This window comes from Homo sapiens, chromosome 10, assembly GCF_000001405.40.
Source record: "Homo sapiens chromosome 10, GRCh38.p14 Primary Assembly".
NCBI lineage: Eukaryota > Metazoa > Chordata > Mammalia > Primates > Hominidae > Homo > Homo sapiens.
Window position 1 is genome coordinate 84432788 of NC_000010.11, and position 17726 is coordinate 84450513.

Sequence of the window (17726 nt, forward strand, 5' to 3'; positions counted from 1 at the left end):
CATTGCCAAATCCAAGGTCACCTGGATTTTCTCCCTTTTCATATTATAGGAATTTTATAGTTTCGCATTTTGCATTTAGGCCTTTGATCCATTTTGACTTAATTTTTGTGAAAGATTTAAAGTCATTCTTTTTGTTTGTAGATGTCCATTTCTAGTCTCATTTGTTGAAAAGACTATCTTTTATACTCTGTTTTGAATTGCCTTTGCTCCTTTGTCGAAGATCAATTGACTGTGTATATGTGGGTCTATTTCTGAGCTCTCTATTGTATTCAGTTGATATGTCGGTTCTTTTGCCAATACCACACATGCCATTTTGATGACTGTAGCTTTGTATAGTAAGTCTTGAAGTTGAGTAGTGTTAGGCCTTCGACTTTCTTCTTCTTCAATATTGTTTCGGATATTTTGGGTCTTTTGCCTGTTCTAATAAAGAATTTAGAATCACCTTGCCGATATCCTCAAAATAACTTGCTGAAATTTTGATTGGGATTGTCTTAAAATGTTACCACAAACATAAAAATACGTACATTTAACTTTTAGTATAAAGTTTTTATTAATGGTGATGAAACACTAATGATTTTATGAAATCAAAACTGTGACTCAGGTTACATAAGAAATGAAGAAGAAAAATCTCCCCACCCCACACACATACACACACACACACACATACACAAGTATACACACACAGATATACAAACATCTGCACTTGCCAGTCTAACCTATAAATCACAAACTTTTAGATTAGCATGAAATCACACATCTTAGTAATCAAGAAGTTCTGTTGGGAGTGGGAAGAATAAAGTTATTTGTAAGTATATGGGTGTAGCCATAGAATTTGGAGAAATTCCTTTAAAACTGCATTAAATAATTATGCAACAATGATTTGTATGCTTGTGGGTTTAATATCAGGTTCTGCTACTGTATGTGAATTCAGTTTAAGTGGGTAAAGACGGTTATCTCTTCAAGATTCTTTTCTCTAGTTTGCATCTTTTTTTTTATCTTGTTGATTTTATTGGCAGCACTTAAAGAGCAAGGTTAGATAATATTGGAGACAGTGGGCTTTCATTCTCATGCCTTTGAAACCACTGAACTCATTTTTGCCTTCACCCATATCTCTAATGGTTCATTTCTTCATATTTACCTGCCTGCCTGGGCTATGATCGGCCACATAAGATCTCACTTCACTAACACATGGCTACTAGCATTCTAGTGTGTTCATGCCACAGCAGCTTTGCAGTCTTCATGTTGCTTTCACTACCGGAGTTTCTGTTAGAAATTCATGAATGTTAAAATTTATACAGAGGTACAAATGTATCAACTTAATGTGGGGGATTATGGCCAGTAATTCCCCCTTCATCTCTTATTTTTTATTACCCTTCTTACACATTTGCCCCTGGATTTGTGTCTTTAGTCTTAGAAAGTGATTTTACCTCCCATTCTGAGATTTATTTTTTAATGTGGAAACTGCATCATCTTCTCAGAATCTGAAATCTCAAATTCTGAGATTAAAATCTTCATTATCTTTCTGTCCCGTGTTCCCGCTCCCTCCTATCTTCATAGTCTCCTTTTATTTTCTGAAAATAATCCCTGTTATATATTTGCTTTCTGTTCCATCTTTCCCTCTTTCTGTCTCTTAGATTTCTCTGTTATATTGATTTTTTTCCCCAGAAAACTTCATGTGTTTCTCCCAGTGGGATTTTATGTCACTTTTAATTTATTGTCAGATGGTTTAGCAACAAATACATAGATGCAAAGCAAATGTGTCAATATTTTAACAGTTGGTAAATATAGGTGAAGGGTATATTGTTGTTCATTGTAGTATTCTTTTGATACTTCTATTTCAAGAAATGTTTCAAGATAAAGAGGTTGGAAACTTAATAATATTATAGTAAGTCATTTTTATTTAATATTTACTATATATTATGTATTAGTCCAAGCACTTTAACATATATTACCTCATTTAAGTCTTATACTAACCTAAGGAGACAAGTATTGTTATTTTGCCCATTTTATAGATTAGGAAATGAAGCATAGAGGGATTTGGTAACTTGCCCTGTGTGTTGTGTGGCTAGTAAGTGGCAGCTGAATTTGGACTCAGATCATCTATGCAGATAATATTAAAATTAATAAGATATGGCTCTGTTTTCAAAGGGCTTACAATCCAATTAGAGTTGAAAAGTATATAGGTTTCTTTATGCTGTGAAACAAATTAAGGATCATAAAATGATAGTTTTATCTAGTTGAGGGGATCAGGAAGGGCTTCTGAAGAAAGTAGCATTTCAGTACTAAGAGAAAATACAGGGTTAATTTTGAATCTCATGGTGGAGGTATTTGAAATGCAACCTAAGGCATATAAACTTTGTTCAATGAGCAGTAGAGAACATTGAGAGTTAAAGAAACTATGGCCCAAAGATAATAAATATTTTCAACAGCTAGTTACTGTCAGATAGGATTTAAACCTAAATCTGAGGTGAGAGGTGGCTATTGTGGCTTTTCTAGATGTCAGTTCTTTGTTTCAGTTAGTGAACAAGACTTGTTGACTCTTCCTTAAAACATTTTAAATTTATTAGTTCCATGCATTTGGATCACATTTATGTCAATATATGTCCATATTCCATACCTGATTCTCATGGCGTAGCCTGCAGACCAGTCTCCTTCAGTGTATTCCCTTTCTAATGCTCTCTCACTTGACAAAATAAGAAGTACCTTTTAATTTGATTATTAGCTATTCAGATTATAGTTCTAAAGCAGTGCTTTTGTCATGTGACAGCTACAGAATTTTAGAATCTTGGAGATATAAGCTTTTAAAAAAAATTCTAGTGGGTAAAATACATGTTCCTTACCCATTCAGTGCAAAAAAAAAAAAAAAAAACAAGAACAACAAAAAAATAAATAACCAAAAAAACCAAAAACTCAGATGCAAAGGAAAAGAGTACACAGTTCATTCCTTCATAGAGTTTGTAATTTGGCCTGAATTGCAAACAAAGTATACTGTAATAAATACTATAATGGGACACAGTACAGGTCGCTATAAAAACACCTGTGGAAGTGCCAAGTCCTGCCTTAGGGGATTTAAGGAAGTGTTCTCTGAAGTAGTGTCAGCTGATTTAAGATGAAGAGGAATTATCTAGATCAAGTGTGCACAGTGGAGGGCAGAATGGAGAGACTGACAAAGACTACTCAGAGGTTGTGGGTTTGGAGATGAGATTGTAGGATGCTTTGGGAATCTCAGGTAATTAGGTATGAATTAAGAAGTCACTCTGGGCCCGGCGCCGTGGCCGACGCCTGTAATCCCACCACTTTGGGAGGGCGAGGCGGGCGAATCACGAGGTCAGGAGATCGAGACCACCCTGTGAATGGTGAAACCCCCGTCTCTACTAAAAATACAAAAAATTAGCCGAGTGTGGTGGCGTTACTTGTAGTCCCAGCTACTCGGGAGGCTGAGGCAGGAGAATGGCGTGAACCCGGGAGGCGGAGCTTGCAGTGAGCCGAGATCACGCCACTGCACTCCAGCCTGGGCGACAGAGCGAGACTCCGTCTCAAAAAAAAAAAAAAAAAAAAAAAAAAAATGCCGGGCGCGGTGTCTCAAGCCTGTCATCCCAGCACTTTGGGAGGCCGAGGCGGGCGGATCACGAGGTCAGGAAATCGAGACCATCCTGGCTAACACGGTAAAACCCCGTCTGTACTAAAAATACAAAAAATTAGCCCGGCGTGCTGGCGGGCACCTGTAGTCCCAGCTACTTGGGAGACTGAGGCAGAGGAATGGCATGAATCCCCGAGGCGGAGCTTGCAGTGAGCCGAGATCGCGCCACTGCACTCTAGCCTGGGGGACAGAGCGAGACTCCGTCTCAAAAAAAAAAAAAAAAAAGGAAGTCACTAGTCACTGCGGGAGGCAGGTGTGTTGAGGGAAGAAGATGAAGAATAAATAGGATTCAGGCTGTCTGTGGCATCATAAAATCAACAGTTTGTAAATTTCTAAAAATCTTTTTCTTGGGTTAAAAGAAAGTTGGGCCTGAAGTACTTAATGAGAAGTAGTTTCAGAGAAAAATAATCTTGTAAAAATCGACCTCATACTGAATATTTGAGAATTCAGAGATGTGGGAATATTTGTTAAAAGCTAGAAAATTTGGTAGAAACCATATTTCTACGTTTTCAATATGGTTGAAATTTAATGCGTTGGAATTTTTGCACATTTAATGCATTATGAATTTAATTTTAATCTTGATTTTAAAATAGCCATTATATTGGAGATAATATTTTTTCAATGTCTTATTTCTTGAAATTTTGCTAGAAGTTGAAGACCAGCCTGAGCAACCCGTCTCTACTTACTAACTAGCCAACCAAATACACACACACACACACACACAGAGAGAGAGAGAGAGAGAGAGAGACAGAGAGACAGAGAGAGACAGACAGACAGCGAGGGCGATTTCACATATATTAGAAGTTCTCGGCCGGGCATGGTGGCTCACACCTGTAATCCCAGAACTTTGGCAGGCCAAGGCGGGTGGATCACCTGAGGTCAGAAGTTCAAGACCAGCCTGGCCAACATGGTGAAACCCCCTCTCTACAAAAATACAAAAATTAGGCATGATGGTGGGTGCCTGTAATCCCAGCTACTCGGGAGGTTGAGGCAGGAGAATCGCTTGAACTCCGGAGGCAGAGGTTACAATGAGCCAAGATCGTACCATTGCGCTCCAGCCTGGATGACTGAGCGAGACTCTGTCTCAAAAAAAAAAAGTTCTCCTCACAGTTTAAGAACCAACTGGAATTAAGGTAGCAATTTTTAAATTGCTATAACTATGACTTCTGGTTAAAATATTTTGCTTTTTACTCCCATGAAACACATTACTTTTATTTTTTTCCTTATTCAGCATGTATGTTATTGTATGAAACTGAAGGGAAATGTAAAAAATTTTAGAGTAGTTTTTTTTTTTTTTTTTTTTGAGACGGAGTCTCACTCTGTTGCCCAGCTTGGAGTGTAGTGGTGCGATCTTGGCTCACTGCAACCTCCGCCTCCCAGGTTCAGGGGATTCTCCTGCATTAGCCTCCTAAGTAACTAGGATTACAGGCACGTGCCACCATGCTGGGGTAATTTTTTGTATTTTTAGTAGGGATGAGGTTTCACCGAGAGTAGATTTTTTTAATGCACTGTAAGATTAGGAAATATGCGGTATATATAAAACTTTTATAAAAGCTTAAGTAACCTTTATTGGAAAATATGCTTTATTAGTAATATAAAAACAAAAAATTCATCTTAACTGCCTGTTGAGACTTTCAAGAAATGGGAGTCCAAGGATGTATACAAACTGAGAGTTAATGTTGGTAGCATCGTTATGGGGCTAAAAAAGGTGTGCAATTTAAGAAGTTAAACAAAGTTAAAAACTAATGAACAACAGTCAGTGCAGAAAAGGAAGAATAAGTTTAACTTTTTCACATAAAGTCTTTCCAGAGTATTGTTTCTATTCCGGTGCCTAAAGAAGGTTTATTCTTCCAGTATGTAAAATACACAAAAGATGGGGGATACAGAAGATAATTGTTTTAATAAACTACAGCTGATTGCGCCTTTTGTGGAAACACATCAGTGACTGAGGTGAGTGGAAGTCAGAGCCATGGTGATAATGATAAGTGATTTGTAATAATCACTGCAATAATTTCATTATCTTTATTTCTTTCTGAAATTGTATTGTATATCTTTTCCCTCCACCTTCTTCCCTGCCCTTCCAGAGGCTCTCCCTATAGAGAATCTCCTTTGGGTCATTTTGAAAGCTATGGAGGGATGCCCTTTTTCCAGGCTCAGAAGATGTTTGTTGATGTACCAGAAAATACAGTGATACTGGATGAGATGACCCTTCGGCACATGGTTCAGGATTGCACTGCTGTAAAAACTCAGTTACTCAAACTGAAACGTCTCCTGCATCAGGTGAGTACATAATGAACATTTCCAGCTCTGATATTTTGAATTGCAAAATGGATTGACTTTAGTTTTTTTTAAAAAAATACTTACTGGGTTTCTCATGTCTTTTTAGATTTCTGTAGAATAATGCTTGTAAATAGTATATAGTAGAAAGTTTTGTGGAAAAAACCTGTGGGATATTGCATGAGGGTCTCATTACACAGTCCCTGGTATTTATGAGTTGTGTGATATTTGGTAAGCCAATCTCTGCTTCTGTTTCTTCATTTTCATAATACCTACATTATAAGGTTGTTGAGAGAATTAGAAATAATAGTTGTAAATTGGCTAATCCAATGCCTGAAACATAGGCATTCAGTATTCAGTGGGCTGCTACTATGATTTCAGCTAAGTGACAAATAAGAAACAACAATTTTTGCTTTACATAATGATAGTCATATAATTCAGTTTTTGTTTGGGATCTTCAAGTTTAATCTTCTCCTGTTTTTTTTTTTCTTTTCTTTTTTTTTTTTGAGAAAATCTAGACTCATAGCAGTGATGTCACTTGTCCAAAGCCACAGGATAACCTGATGTTGGATCCTGGCATCTGATTCAGTAGTATTTACTTTGTTTTAGCACTTACAGACAAGGTCAGATGTATAGCAGAAAATCAAGGAATAAAATACTAATTTTAAGTCATAGATACCTTTCGTTTGGTTTTAAATCTGTATTTGTACTTTGTAGAATAGCCAACTTTAGCTTAAAACTACAGTTAAGAAAGAACAGCCTGACTTCTCTCTGCTGCTCAGTTTGCTTTCTGTCTTAGAATTCCTGGTGGCCATCAAAACAAAACATGCAGTATATGCACACGAAAGGCTAGTTGAAGTGAAATTTGGCTCCTGTGTTAGAAATGATGGTTAATGTAAATATTCTGTTAAAGTCAGGTAAATTGTTTTCTGTTACTCAGGGATCTTCTGTACTACTTCTCTCCATTCTTGTGGATATTTGACTACTGTTTTGAAAAGAAACTTTTTTGAGCTAAGGAACAAAAGAGTGGAGAATCCTTTTTGGATATGAGATTGTTAACTTCTCTTGAGGCAGAAATAAATTATATGATTGAATTATCCAGACATTGAGCTTACAGCCTAGTTCAACTGTAACTAGAAAATAGGCATTGGTATATAGTGTTTTTCTGTTGGCTGGTCTGGGGAGATGATTTTTTGATTAGGAGTTTTAGTGTCAAAGGGAAGAGGTGGTAGGGAATGGTGGGAAATAGGTAAAATATGTCAAATATCCACTGTGAGCCAGTCATTGTACTAGCTGTACCACGTACCATCTTTTGTGTTTGGGTGTTTTGCCCTGAATCATGAAGCATGACTAAATAGCAGCTAATAAGACCAGGCCACTTCTAATAATGAAAAAAGTAGCATAATTCAGGTAGTAGTAGGTGAATTGGTAACCAATGATTGGTACCATAAAAATAAAAAAGTGTTTTTTGAGGTTCTTTGTGTAAAGTTGTAAATCTCTTAATGGTTCTTTTCTGTCATTATGGCCTCTGAACTCTTAGGTACTACACACGGGTAAAATTGACTTTATTTTTTGTTTATGTGATGACAGCAAAATTATGAGAAGAAAATTGCAAAATCTTTGTAGGTCATCTTTAAAGTTTCCCAAATGCTAATAGAAGTTAAAAGATGACTGAGTTCAAAATTTCATGTCATTGCCTCTTTAAATTTGTTTCTAATGTGACTGAATTTAAAAAAAACAATGTGATACGTATATATAGTTTTCAAAAAAATTCATACACTATTCGAAGGCTTAATGAAAAAAACAGTATGTCTGGCCCCCTCCCCACCTCAGTCAACCTGTTCTCATCTGAACAGGTTACTGTCCAAAGCTTCTCTAGAGCTGTCATGCAGGGACTTACTTTTGCCATAATCTGGGACTGGATCCATTCTTTCGATAGCATGTCTTCTTTCTTCCTAGTTTATTCTCTCACTTTGCTGGAATATATCTTTAATTTACTTCCTAAGAGAGGATTAATGAATGGCACACTGTTTTAGTTACTTCATTACTGAAAATCTCTTTATCCTGGTCTCACATTTGATTGATATTAATAAGTTTGGTTGGTATGAAATAGTTTCGTTGTAATAGAAGAGAGTTTTCCCTTAGAAATTTGAGGGCATTGCTTTTCTAGGATCTTATTTAGCCGTTGAACAGTCTACTACATTCTGATCCATTGTACATTGTGTTTTGCCTGTTTTTATCTCTGGAATATTTTTAATCTTTTATTTCTAGCATTCTGCAGTTTCACAGTAATGTCCTTGGACTTGAGTTTTGTTGTAGTTGGTTGGTTGGTTTCCACTTGATGTTTTGGCATTTAGTAGGCTCTTTGGAGATTAATGTAGTGTGAAATGTTCTTGTTATTTCTGTGATTATTCTCTTTCCTTTATTTTATCTGTTATCTTTCTGGAATCTTTAGTAATCAGAAACTAGAATTTCTGAATTGAATCTCCTTACCTTTTTATTTTTTGTTATACGTTTTTCTTTTTCTTTGGGTTTGGTTATGTTTCCTGGTATATTTTCTCGACTTGATATTCCAGCTGTCTGTTTTTATTTAACTGTTTATCTTGGCAATCATATTTTCAATTTCCAAGAACTTTTGTGTGTACTATTCCTTATTCATATCATTCAACTGTTTTTTCAGGAACTATGGTAAGTAGAGAGTTTCTGTTTGTTTTGTTTCATTTTATTGAGAATTCTTTGGTTCCCTGTATTCTTTCTCTTTTTAAATGGTCATTTTGTTTTTTATGCTTATTTTGATTTCTCTTTCTTCTGGAATATTTATTCAAATTTATAATGATTCTTTGTTGTTTATTCAGGACTTTGTACATGGCCATGCCTGTCAACTGGCTGGTTTTACTTTATGGCATTGTGTGGATATCAGTGGACCCTCAGCATCTACTGAGTGAAGGTTTTTTCCTTCAGAGGTGGTTGTAATTTATCCAAAGAAGAAACCTGATTTTATGCTGGGAATAAAGTAGAAGACTGGGAAAATGTTTTTTTTTTTTTTTTTTTTTTTTTTTTTTTTTTTTTTTTGAGACGAAGTCTCGCTGTCTCTCAGGCTGGAGTGCAGTGGCGCGATCTCGGCTCACTGCAAACTCCACCTCCTGGGTTCACGCCATTCTCCTGCCTCAGCCTCCCTAGTAGCTGGGACTACAGGCGCCCACCACCACGCCCGGCTAATTTCTTATATTTTTAGTAGAGACAGGGTTTCACCATGTTAGCCACAAGGGTCTCGATCTCCTGACCTTGTGATCTGCCCACCTCGGCCTCCCAAAGTGCTGGGATTACAGGCGTGAACCACCACGCCTAGCCAAATGTTAGTTTCTTACACAGACTTTCAATTCATTCCCACATTTTTAACCTTAAGGGGTCATAAATGTATGTTTTTCTCTTTCTGGCAAAATGGGTGATAATGAGAACAAGACAAATTCAGAAGGTTGGACATTCAGTAAGAAAAGTTGAGATCTCTTTGGCTTCTTAGTGTCCTAAAAAGATGGTGGGGGAAGGTGATGGTGCTACATTAAAAAAAATGTAAAGGACAAGTAGATACAGTGTGAAATTTTGAATTGTATATTGATTTGGACAGATCAGCTATAAAGGACATCTTGGATTAGTTGGGGAAATTTGAACATAGGCTGTATATTAGATGAGATGGAAATTTACTAAAATGGAAAGGGGAGATTGTTGACTGAAAAAAGTAGGTTATAAGGCTGTATGTATATTATGATCATTTATCTATCTATATCTACATCTGTATATTTCTCCAGAGGGATATGCTCTAAGGTGTTACTAGTGATGATTCCTGGATGGTAAGAATGTAATTTCTTTTTTGTGTGTTTTTTAAAAAATCTCTTTTCTCATTTCTAATTCTCCACGAATTATTGTTTCTGGGGGGAAGAAAAGGTTTTTTAAAAGGTATGTGCCTTATCCAGTGATCAGTTAATTAACTGGATATGTTAAAAATGTAGTATGCTCACACTGCCTGACTCCAAACTATATTACAAGGCTACAGTAACCAAAACAGCATGGTGCTGGTACCAAAACAGATATATAGACCAATGGAACAGAACAGAAATAATGCCACACATTTACATTTACACACATTTACAACCATCTGACCTTTGACAAACCTGACAAAAACAAGCAATGGGGAAAGGATTCCCTATTTAATAAATGGTGTTGGGAAAACTGGCTAGCCATATGCAGAAAACTGAAACTGGACCCCTTCCTTACACCTTATACAAAAATTAACTCGAGATGGATTAAAGACTTAATTATAAGACCTAAAACCTTAAAAACTCTAGAAGAAAACCTAGGAAATACCATTCAGGACATAGACATGGGCAAAGACATCACGACTAAAACACCAAAAGCGATGGCAGCAAAAGCCAAAATTGACAAATGGGATCTAATTAAACTAAAGAACTTCTGCACAGCAAAAGAAACTACCATCAGAGTGAAGAGGCAACCTAGAGAATGGGAGAAAATTTTTGCAATCTGTCCATCTGACAAAGGTCTAATATCCAGAATCTACAAGGAACTTAAACAGATTTACAAGAAAAAAAACAACCCCATCAAAAAGTGGGCAAAGGATATGAACAGACACTTCTCGAAAGAAGACAATTATGCAGCCAACAAACATGAAAAAAAGCTCATCATCACTGGTCATTAAAGAAATGCAAATTAAAACCACAATGAGATACCATCTCATGCCAGTTAAAATGGCGATCATTAAAAGTCAGGAGACAACAGGTGCTGGAGAGGATGTGGAGAAATAGGAACACTTTTACACTGTTGGTGGGAGTGTAAATTAGTTCAACCATTGTGGAAGACAGTGTAGCGATTCCTCAAGGATCTAGAACCAGAAATACCATTTGATCCCGCAATCCCATTACTGGTTATATACCCAAAGGATTATAAATCATTTTACTATAAAGACACATGCACACGTATGTTTATTGCAGCACTGTTCACAATAGCAAAGACTTGGAACCAGCCCACATGCCCATCAATGATAGACTGGATAAAGAAAATGTGGCATATATACACCATGGAATACTGTGCAGCCACAAAAAAGGATGAGTTCATGTCCTTTGCAGGGACATAGATAGAGCTGGAAACCATCATTCTTAGCAAGCTAATACTGGAACAGAAAACCAAACACTGCATGTTCTTACTCATAAGTGGGAGTTTAACAGTGAGAACACATGGACACAGGGAGGGGAACATCACACACCAGGGCCTGTCGGGGGGTAGGGGGCTGGGGGAGGATAGCATTAGGAGAAATACCTAACGTAGATGACAGGTCAATGGGTGTAGCAAACCGCTATGGCACATGTATACCAGTGTAACAAACCTGCACATTCTGCACATGTATCCCAGAAGTTAAAGTATAATAATAATAAAAAAAAAATGTAGGATGCTAGAGAAGAGGCAGAAGACATAGATAGATTTAGGGCAGGTTGTCAAGGACCTTGTGTGCCATAAAGGTAGCTGGGGCATTGTTCTGTTGGTAGTAGTAAGCCAAACAAGCGACTTGGCCAAATTGTTATTTTTTTAAAAAAATTACTGTAAGGGATATGTAGAAAATGAATAGCAGAGGGAGTGACTTAAGTCATAATATTTAGGAGGCTGTTGCATCCATTCAAATTTTAGGCTAAAGTCGTTAAATTTATTTGGACATTCTTCTAGGTTCTCTGATATACATTATCTCTAGTCTGAAAAGTAGGTAATATTGGCTTCACCCTCATAGCTGGAAAGGGTGAGGCTCAGAAAACTAATTAGTGATACAACCAGGATTTTTTTTTAACCCTAATCTATATGACTCCAAGGCCTGTTGCACACAGTGGTGTTCTAGAAGATACCTTGAGGGACAGCAGGGAGAAGAGAGTGTGAAGGAAACATACAACACTAATTCTACCATCATTCTGTGTCCCCTTAGCCAAACCCAAGCAAAGGAATCTTTGTTTTATTAAATAGTACTGTTTAAGAGTTCACTTGAAAAAAGTTCTCCCTGCACACAAAATTTTAAAAAATTGTAAACCATTATATTTGGCCTTTGATCTTTTATTTGTGGTTTTACTCAAATTAAGATTACTTTATAGTTTAAGCATCTCTTTTGTGTACCTCATTCTACTCATCACAACATCATTATGGGATAAGAATGACAACAGTAGTAATTCCATTTTAATGGTCAGAAAACTAAGACTGAAATTTAATTGTGCTTTGCAAGATCACCCAGTTGCATATTAATGTAGAGTGCATTTTAAACTCAGGGCTTTTTAATTATTTTAGCTTAATACCTCTGTATAGTTTATTGCCTGATTTAGAAATTTTGAATAAGAATTTTGACCCTGACATGAAGAACGTGGGGACATGATGAAAAAGATAGTTTTTTTGTGGTATCTTGTCTCTCTCTTTTTTTTTCTGAGTTGGAGTCTTGCTCTGTCGCCCAGGCTGGAGTGCAGTGGTGCAGTCTCGGCTCACTGCAAGCTCCGCCTCCTGGGCTCACACCATTCTTCTGCCTCAGCCTCCTGAGTAGCTGGGACTACAGGCGCCCGCCACCACGCCCAGCTAATTTTTTGTACTTTTAGAAGAGACGGGGTTTCACCATGTTAGCCAGGATGACCTCGATCTCCTGACCTTGTGATCCACCCGCCTTGGCCTCCCAAAGTGCTGGGATTACAGGCGTGAGCCACCGCACCTGGCCGGTATCTCTTTAAGTCTCTATACCCTGTTTCAAAAACTTCTTAACAAAGTGTAATATACATACAGAAAAGGGTATAATTAATAAGTATTTATCTTAATGAATTTTCAGAAACTGAAAATACCTGTGTAGCCAGCATCTAGCAAGAAATGAAACATTACCAGAACAGAATCCTCTGCTTGCCCATTCTCATGGTGGCCAATGGATTTCTGAAAATATAGATGAATTTGTCTGTATTTGAACTTTGAAATGAAATGAAATAATATAGGATATACTTGTTTTATATCTGGCTTCTTTTGCTTAATATTATATTCATGAGTCATCCATTTTCTGCATCATTCTCATTGCTGTAGAGTATTCCATTGTGTTAATATGGCACAGTTTATTTCATTTGTTCTATAATAGATATTTGGACAGGTTTCCTTTTTTGTTGTTTATTATGAACAGTTTTGCTGCTGTATTCTAGTATGTGTCTTTTGGTGAACATATGTATGCATTTTTATTGTATTTATACCTGTAAGTGGGATTGCTGGGTTAATTATAAGTTGGGTAAATATTCAGCTTTAGTAGATACTACAAAGGTTTTCTAAAGTAGTTATACCTACCCACTCTTTCCCTTTCTCATTTCTTTTCATTATTTTTTGTTTGCTCTTATCATATCACAGTCATCATCTGTTTTGACCTTGCAATAAGAAATGAAGAATTTAAGATGGAGTAATGGAAAGGCATGATGATACCTCTTCCTAACATTTTATTTGCATTGCAAAATATTTGATTCCTATGATTTATATTATGTCTACTTCAGGATGCTTGTTTTGGGGATAAAAATAAAGGAGTATATAATAGTATTTTATGAACTGTCAAATGTGATATACAAATGTTTAGTTTCATTATTCCCTCCCCTCCAACGTTGAGAATAAAACCAATAATTTTTCCCTCACATAATTCTCCGATTCACTGTGTGTGGGGGCAGTGGGTGTAGTGGCAGTGGTAGGTGGTGGAATGTTAGTGGCATCATCCTAAGTGGGGTTCACCAAGAGCTAAGAGGCTACTGAATGATTTCCACTTGGTAGCAAAGAACCAAAGAAGAGCCAGAGCATGCCTGTTTCCCTATCCCCATATTTCTCTCATCACTCCAGGAAAAAAAGGAGTTTATGAAATATTCATAATAAGAATATATACAACATAAGGGTTCAGTTTAACTTAGAATGTGAAGGAGCTTGTACTCTTACCCACCCAGATTAAGAAATAAGACATTAATAAGCTCCCTGTATGCTCCTTCCTGATTGCAGTACCTTTCCTTTCCAGAACCTAGAGTTTTCCCTTGTTTTTCCTCTCATTTTTACCATCTGTGTTTGTATTTCCGTGAATATAAGGTTTGCCTCTTTTTTAACTTTATATAAGTGAAATTATAATGTGAGTATTCCTCTATGGCTTCTTTCATTCAACTTTTTTTTAAGGTTCATTCATGTTTGGCTCTACTTCATTAATTTTCATTTCTCTATTGGTGCTCCAATCTATGAACGAAACATAATATCTTTGTCTGTTTTACTCTTGATGTCCATTTTGTTTGTTTCCAGTTTTTTTTTTTTTGACTCTGACAAATAATATTCCTATGAACATTTTCCCGGTACAACCGTGAGAAAGTTCCTCTGAAGTATCTAATTAGAATTGGAATTTCTGAGTCCTGAAGCATGGAAATAGTTTACCCTAGAAAAACCAAACTGTTTTCCAAAGTAGTTCAGTCTTTTTTACTCCCCTCAAGTAGTAGATGTTGTTTTTCATTGTTTCACATGTGTGCAAACTTGATAATACCCAACTTACGAATTTGTGTCATATGGATAGAATATAGTGACATTTAATTGTGGTTTTAATTTACATTTCCCTGATTGCTAATAAAGTTGAACCTTTTTGTATGTTTATGGAATGTTTGTTGCCCGATCATATGTTTTGTGTGTATGAGAGCGAGATTTTTGTATATTCTAGATGCAAGTACTTTGTTAGTTATATGTGTTGCAAATATTATCTTCCATTGTGTAGAGTGTTTTTTCACTGTCTGATATCCTTTGATGAAAAAAAGTTCTTGGTTTTAATACAGTGAATTTATCAGACTTTTTTCTTTGTGGTTTGCACTTTTAGAAATCCTTGTTTGAAAATCCTTTCTTGCTCTGAGGCCATAAAAATATTCTATTCTTTTCTAAAAAATTAAGAATTTTGACCTTCACAATTAAATCTCAAATAACTTGGAATTGATTTTGGTGCATTTAAAGTATGAGGTAGAGGTCCACTTTTATTTGTTTTTATCTGTGGGTGATCAGTGGATGGATTCAGGGCTTAAAGTGTGAAGAGTTCGTTTCTTTTGTTTTGTTTTGTTTTTTGCAGCAGAGTGTTGCTGTGTCACCCAGGCTGGGCAGTGGTGCAGTGTCGGCTTACTGCAGCCTCGACCTCCTGGGCTCAACCGATCCTCCCAAGTAGCTGGGACTATAGGTATGCCCCACCATACCCGGCTATTTTTGTTATCCTGCTAAGATTCTGAATCCTTATGCATGGCTGCTCCCACTCTTCCGTGTACCCTTTTCTCATACTACTCCAGCTCTGACTGCTTGTCAGCCCATTGGACTCTGATACTCCACACCAATCCCCATCTCCAGATGGACGCCTTCTCACTCTGCTTGGCCTGACACTGCACATCAGTTGAGTCTACGCATGGATGCCCTCCTTACCCATTTTGGATCTGAAACCTGGCATTGAGCCCTTTACTCATTGTCATGCCTGAGCTCTGGCAGTCTTTGCCAGGCCATCCTGTGTGTGGATATTCACCTCACTCTTCTTTGACTCTGATAGCCCATGCCAGGCTGCTGATTATGCACATACACTCTATTCTTTCCACTTAAGTTTGACTCTAATATCAAGCTGTTTCCCCACCCCTCATGGATACTGTTTTCACTCCTTTTGGGATATGGCATATATTGGTAAGCTGCCTCCCTATGGAGACATGCTCTTTCAACCTACTTAGGCTCTGAAACTTCCTGCTGGGCTTTTGGGGTGGAAACCTATTTTGCTCTGACTTACCTAATGGCTTGTTAAGAAAGGAATAGGAAGGTGAAGAGGAGAATTTAAAAAAAGTATCAACTTTATTGAGACAGAATGTACATTCAAATAAACTGCACCCATTTTAAGTGTACAGTTTGTTTTGATGAATATATGCAATTGTGTAATTACCACCACATTCAAGATATAGACCATTTCTGTACTGATAAAGTTCCTTCATTTCCCTTTGCAGTCAGTTCTTTCTCAAACCCGGCCCAGGCAACCACTATTCTGCTTTTGGTTCTAAAGTTTTATCTTTCTTAGAATTTCATCAAAATGGAACCATTTGTTGTGTACTCTTTTTGTTTCTGAATTTTTTTACTCGCCTTAATGGTTTTGATATTCATCTGTGTTTTGCTAGTATCAGTAGTTCATTTCTTTTTATTGCTGAGTAGACTCCATTCTACATATATGTACCACAATTTGACTTTTATCAATTTATCTGTTGATAGACATTCAGGTTGTTTTTAGTTGTGGAATAATTGGGATAATGCTGAATCTCTACGTTTCAATGATGAAAGTTAATAGGAATAAATGTAATTAAGAAAAATCAGGCCAGGCGCGGTGGCCCATGCCTGTAATCCCAGCAATTTGGGAGGCCGAGGTAGGTGGATCACCTGGGGTCAGGAGTTCAAGACCAGCCTGGCCAAAATGGCGAAACCCCATTTCTACTAAAAATACAAAAATTAGCCAGGCATGGTGGCGTGTGCCTGTAGTCCCAGCTACTTGGGAGGCTGAGGCGGGAGGATCACTTGAACACGGGAGGCAGAGGTTGCAGCGAGCTGAGATCATACCAGTGCACTCCAGCCTGGGCAACAGAGTAAGAGTCTGTCTCAAGAAAAAAATCAGAATAGACAATTCCAAGGTGGAGTTTTGGGTTCAGGCAAATTTTCCTACTTGTACGATGTTGGAAAAGTTGCTTAAACTCTCTGTGCTGCAGTTTCCTAGAAAAGATAATAGAATGTAATAGCTCTTACTTCAGGACTGTTGTGAAGAATGCATGAGGCAATTCCCATAAAATGCTAACGTAGGGCTGGGGGCGGTGGCTCATGCCTGTATAATCCCAGCACTTTGGGAGGCCAAGGTGGGCAGATCACCTGTGGTTGGGAGTTCGAGACCAGCCTGATCAACATGAAGAAACCCCGTCTCTAGTAAAAATACAAAATTAGCTGAGCGTGGTGGCGCATGCCTGTAATGATCAGGAGGCTGAGACAGGAGAATTGCTTGAACCCAGGAGGCAGAGGTTGCGGTGAGCTGAGATCGCGCCATTGCACTCCAGCCTGGGCAACAAGAGCAAAACTCCGTCTCAAAAACAAAACAAACAAACAAAAAACACATTAAATTGCTAACATAGTATCATCCATAGTATCTTAAAATGCTAAGCATACTATGCTGATAGTATTCTAAAATGCTAAGCATAGTATGCTGATGTTTCAGCATAACCTGATACATGTAATGCAGTTAATGCATGTTAGCAGTTAATAATAGCAACAACATGTTTCATAGTAACATGAAAGTCAAGGGTTTTTAATTGCTCACAATTTTATGTAGCTGCCCAGAAAGCTAATTTTATTTACTTCAATACCTGTGTTTGTTTATTATTATTCTGTCCATACCAAGGATCATGGTAGTAATGGAGATAAAAATAAAGAGGACACAGTTTTTAACCTGTACCCAGTACATTGTTCGAAAACTATAGGTTAAAACCGGTTAGTGGGTCTTAAAATGAATTTTCATCATGACTAGAATTTTTGGTAATGAAGTAAAACAGTATAAAACTATCAAAAGGACATCACACGTAATAAGGACAAATACTTTTTCATGAAATTTGTTTTTAGTGAGAGAAATATATGTATATCTCCCTATATTACACACATGGATATGTGCATACACATGTAAATGCATACCTATTCATGTATATATGTACTTGGTTGTGTTATAAAATGTATTTTTATTGTGGATCAGTGTCCCCAC

The 17726-nt window shown here is 37.1% G+C and overlaps 1 protein-coding gene across 17 annotated transcripts in view; it reads left to right on the plus strand.

Moving 5' to 3' along the window:
* The window catches only part of CCSER2 (coiled-coil serine rich protein 2), a 189929-nt gene that overhangs the window by 104199 nt on the left and 68004 nt on the right, over positions 1-17726 (plus strand). For 14 of the 17 annotated variants that reach the window (NM_001351290.2, XM_005269905.5, NM_001351292.2 and 11 more), the window contains one exon: positions 5725-5920. The exons of 2 other annotated variants lie outside the window; for them this stretch is intronic. In NM_001351290.2, coding sequence (NP_001338219.1) covers positions 5725-5920 — 196 coding nt within the window. Of the gene's footprint in view, positions 1-5494; positions 5580-5724; positions 5921-17726 lie in introns of those variants that run through there. One more of the 17 variants, XM_011539872.3, reaches the window with a different exon arrangement.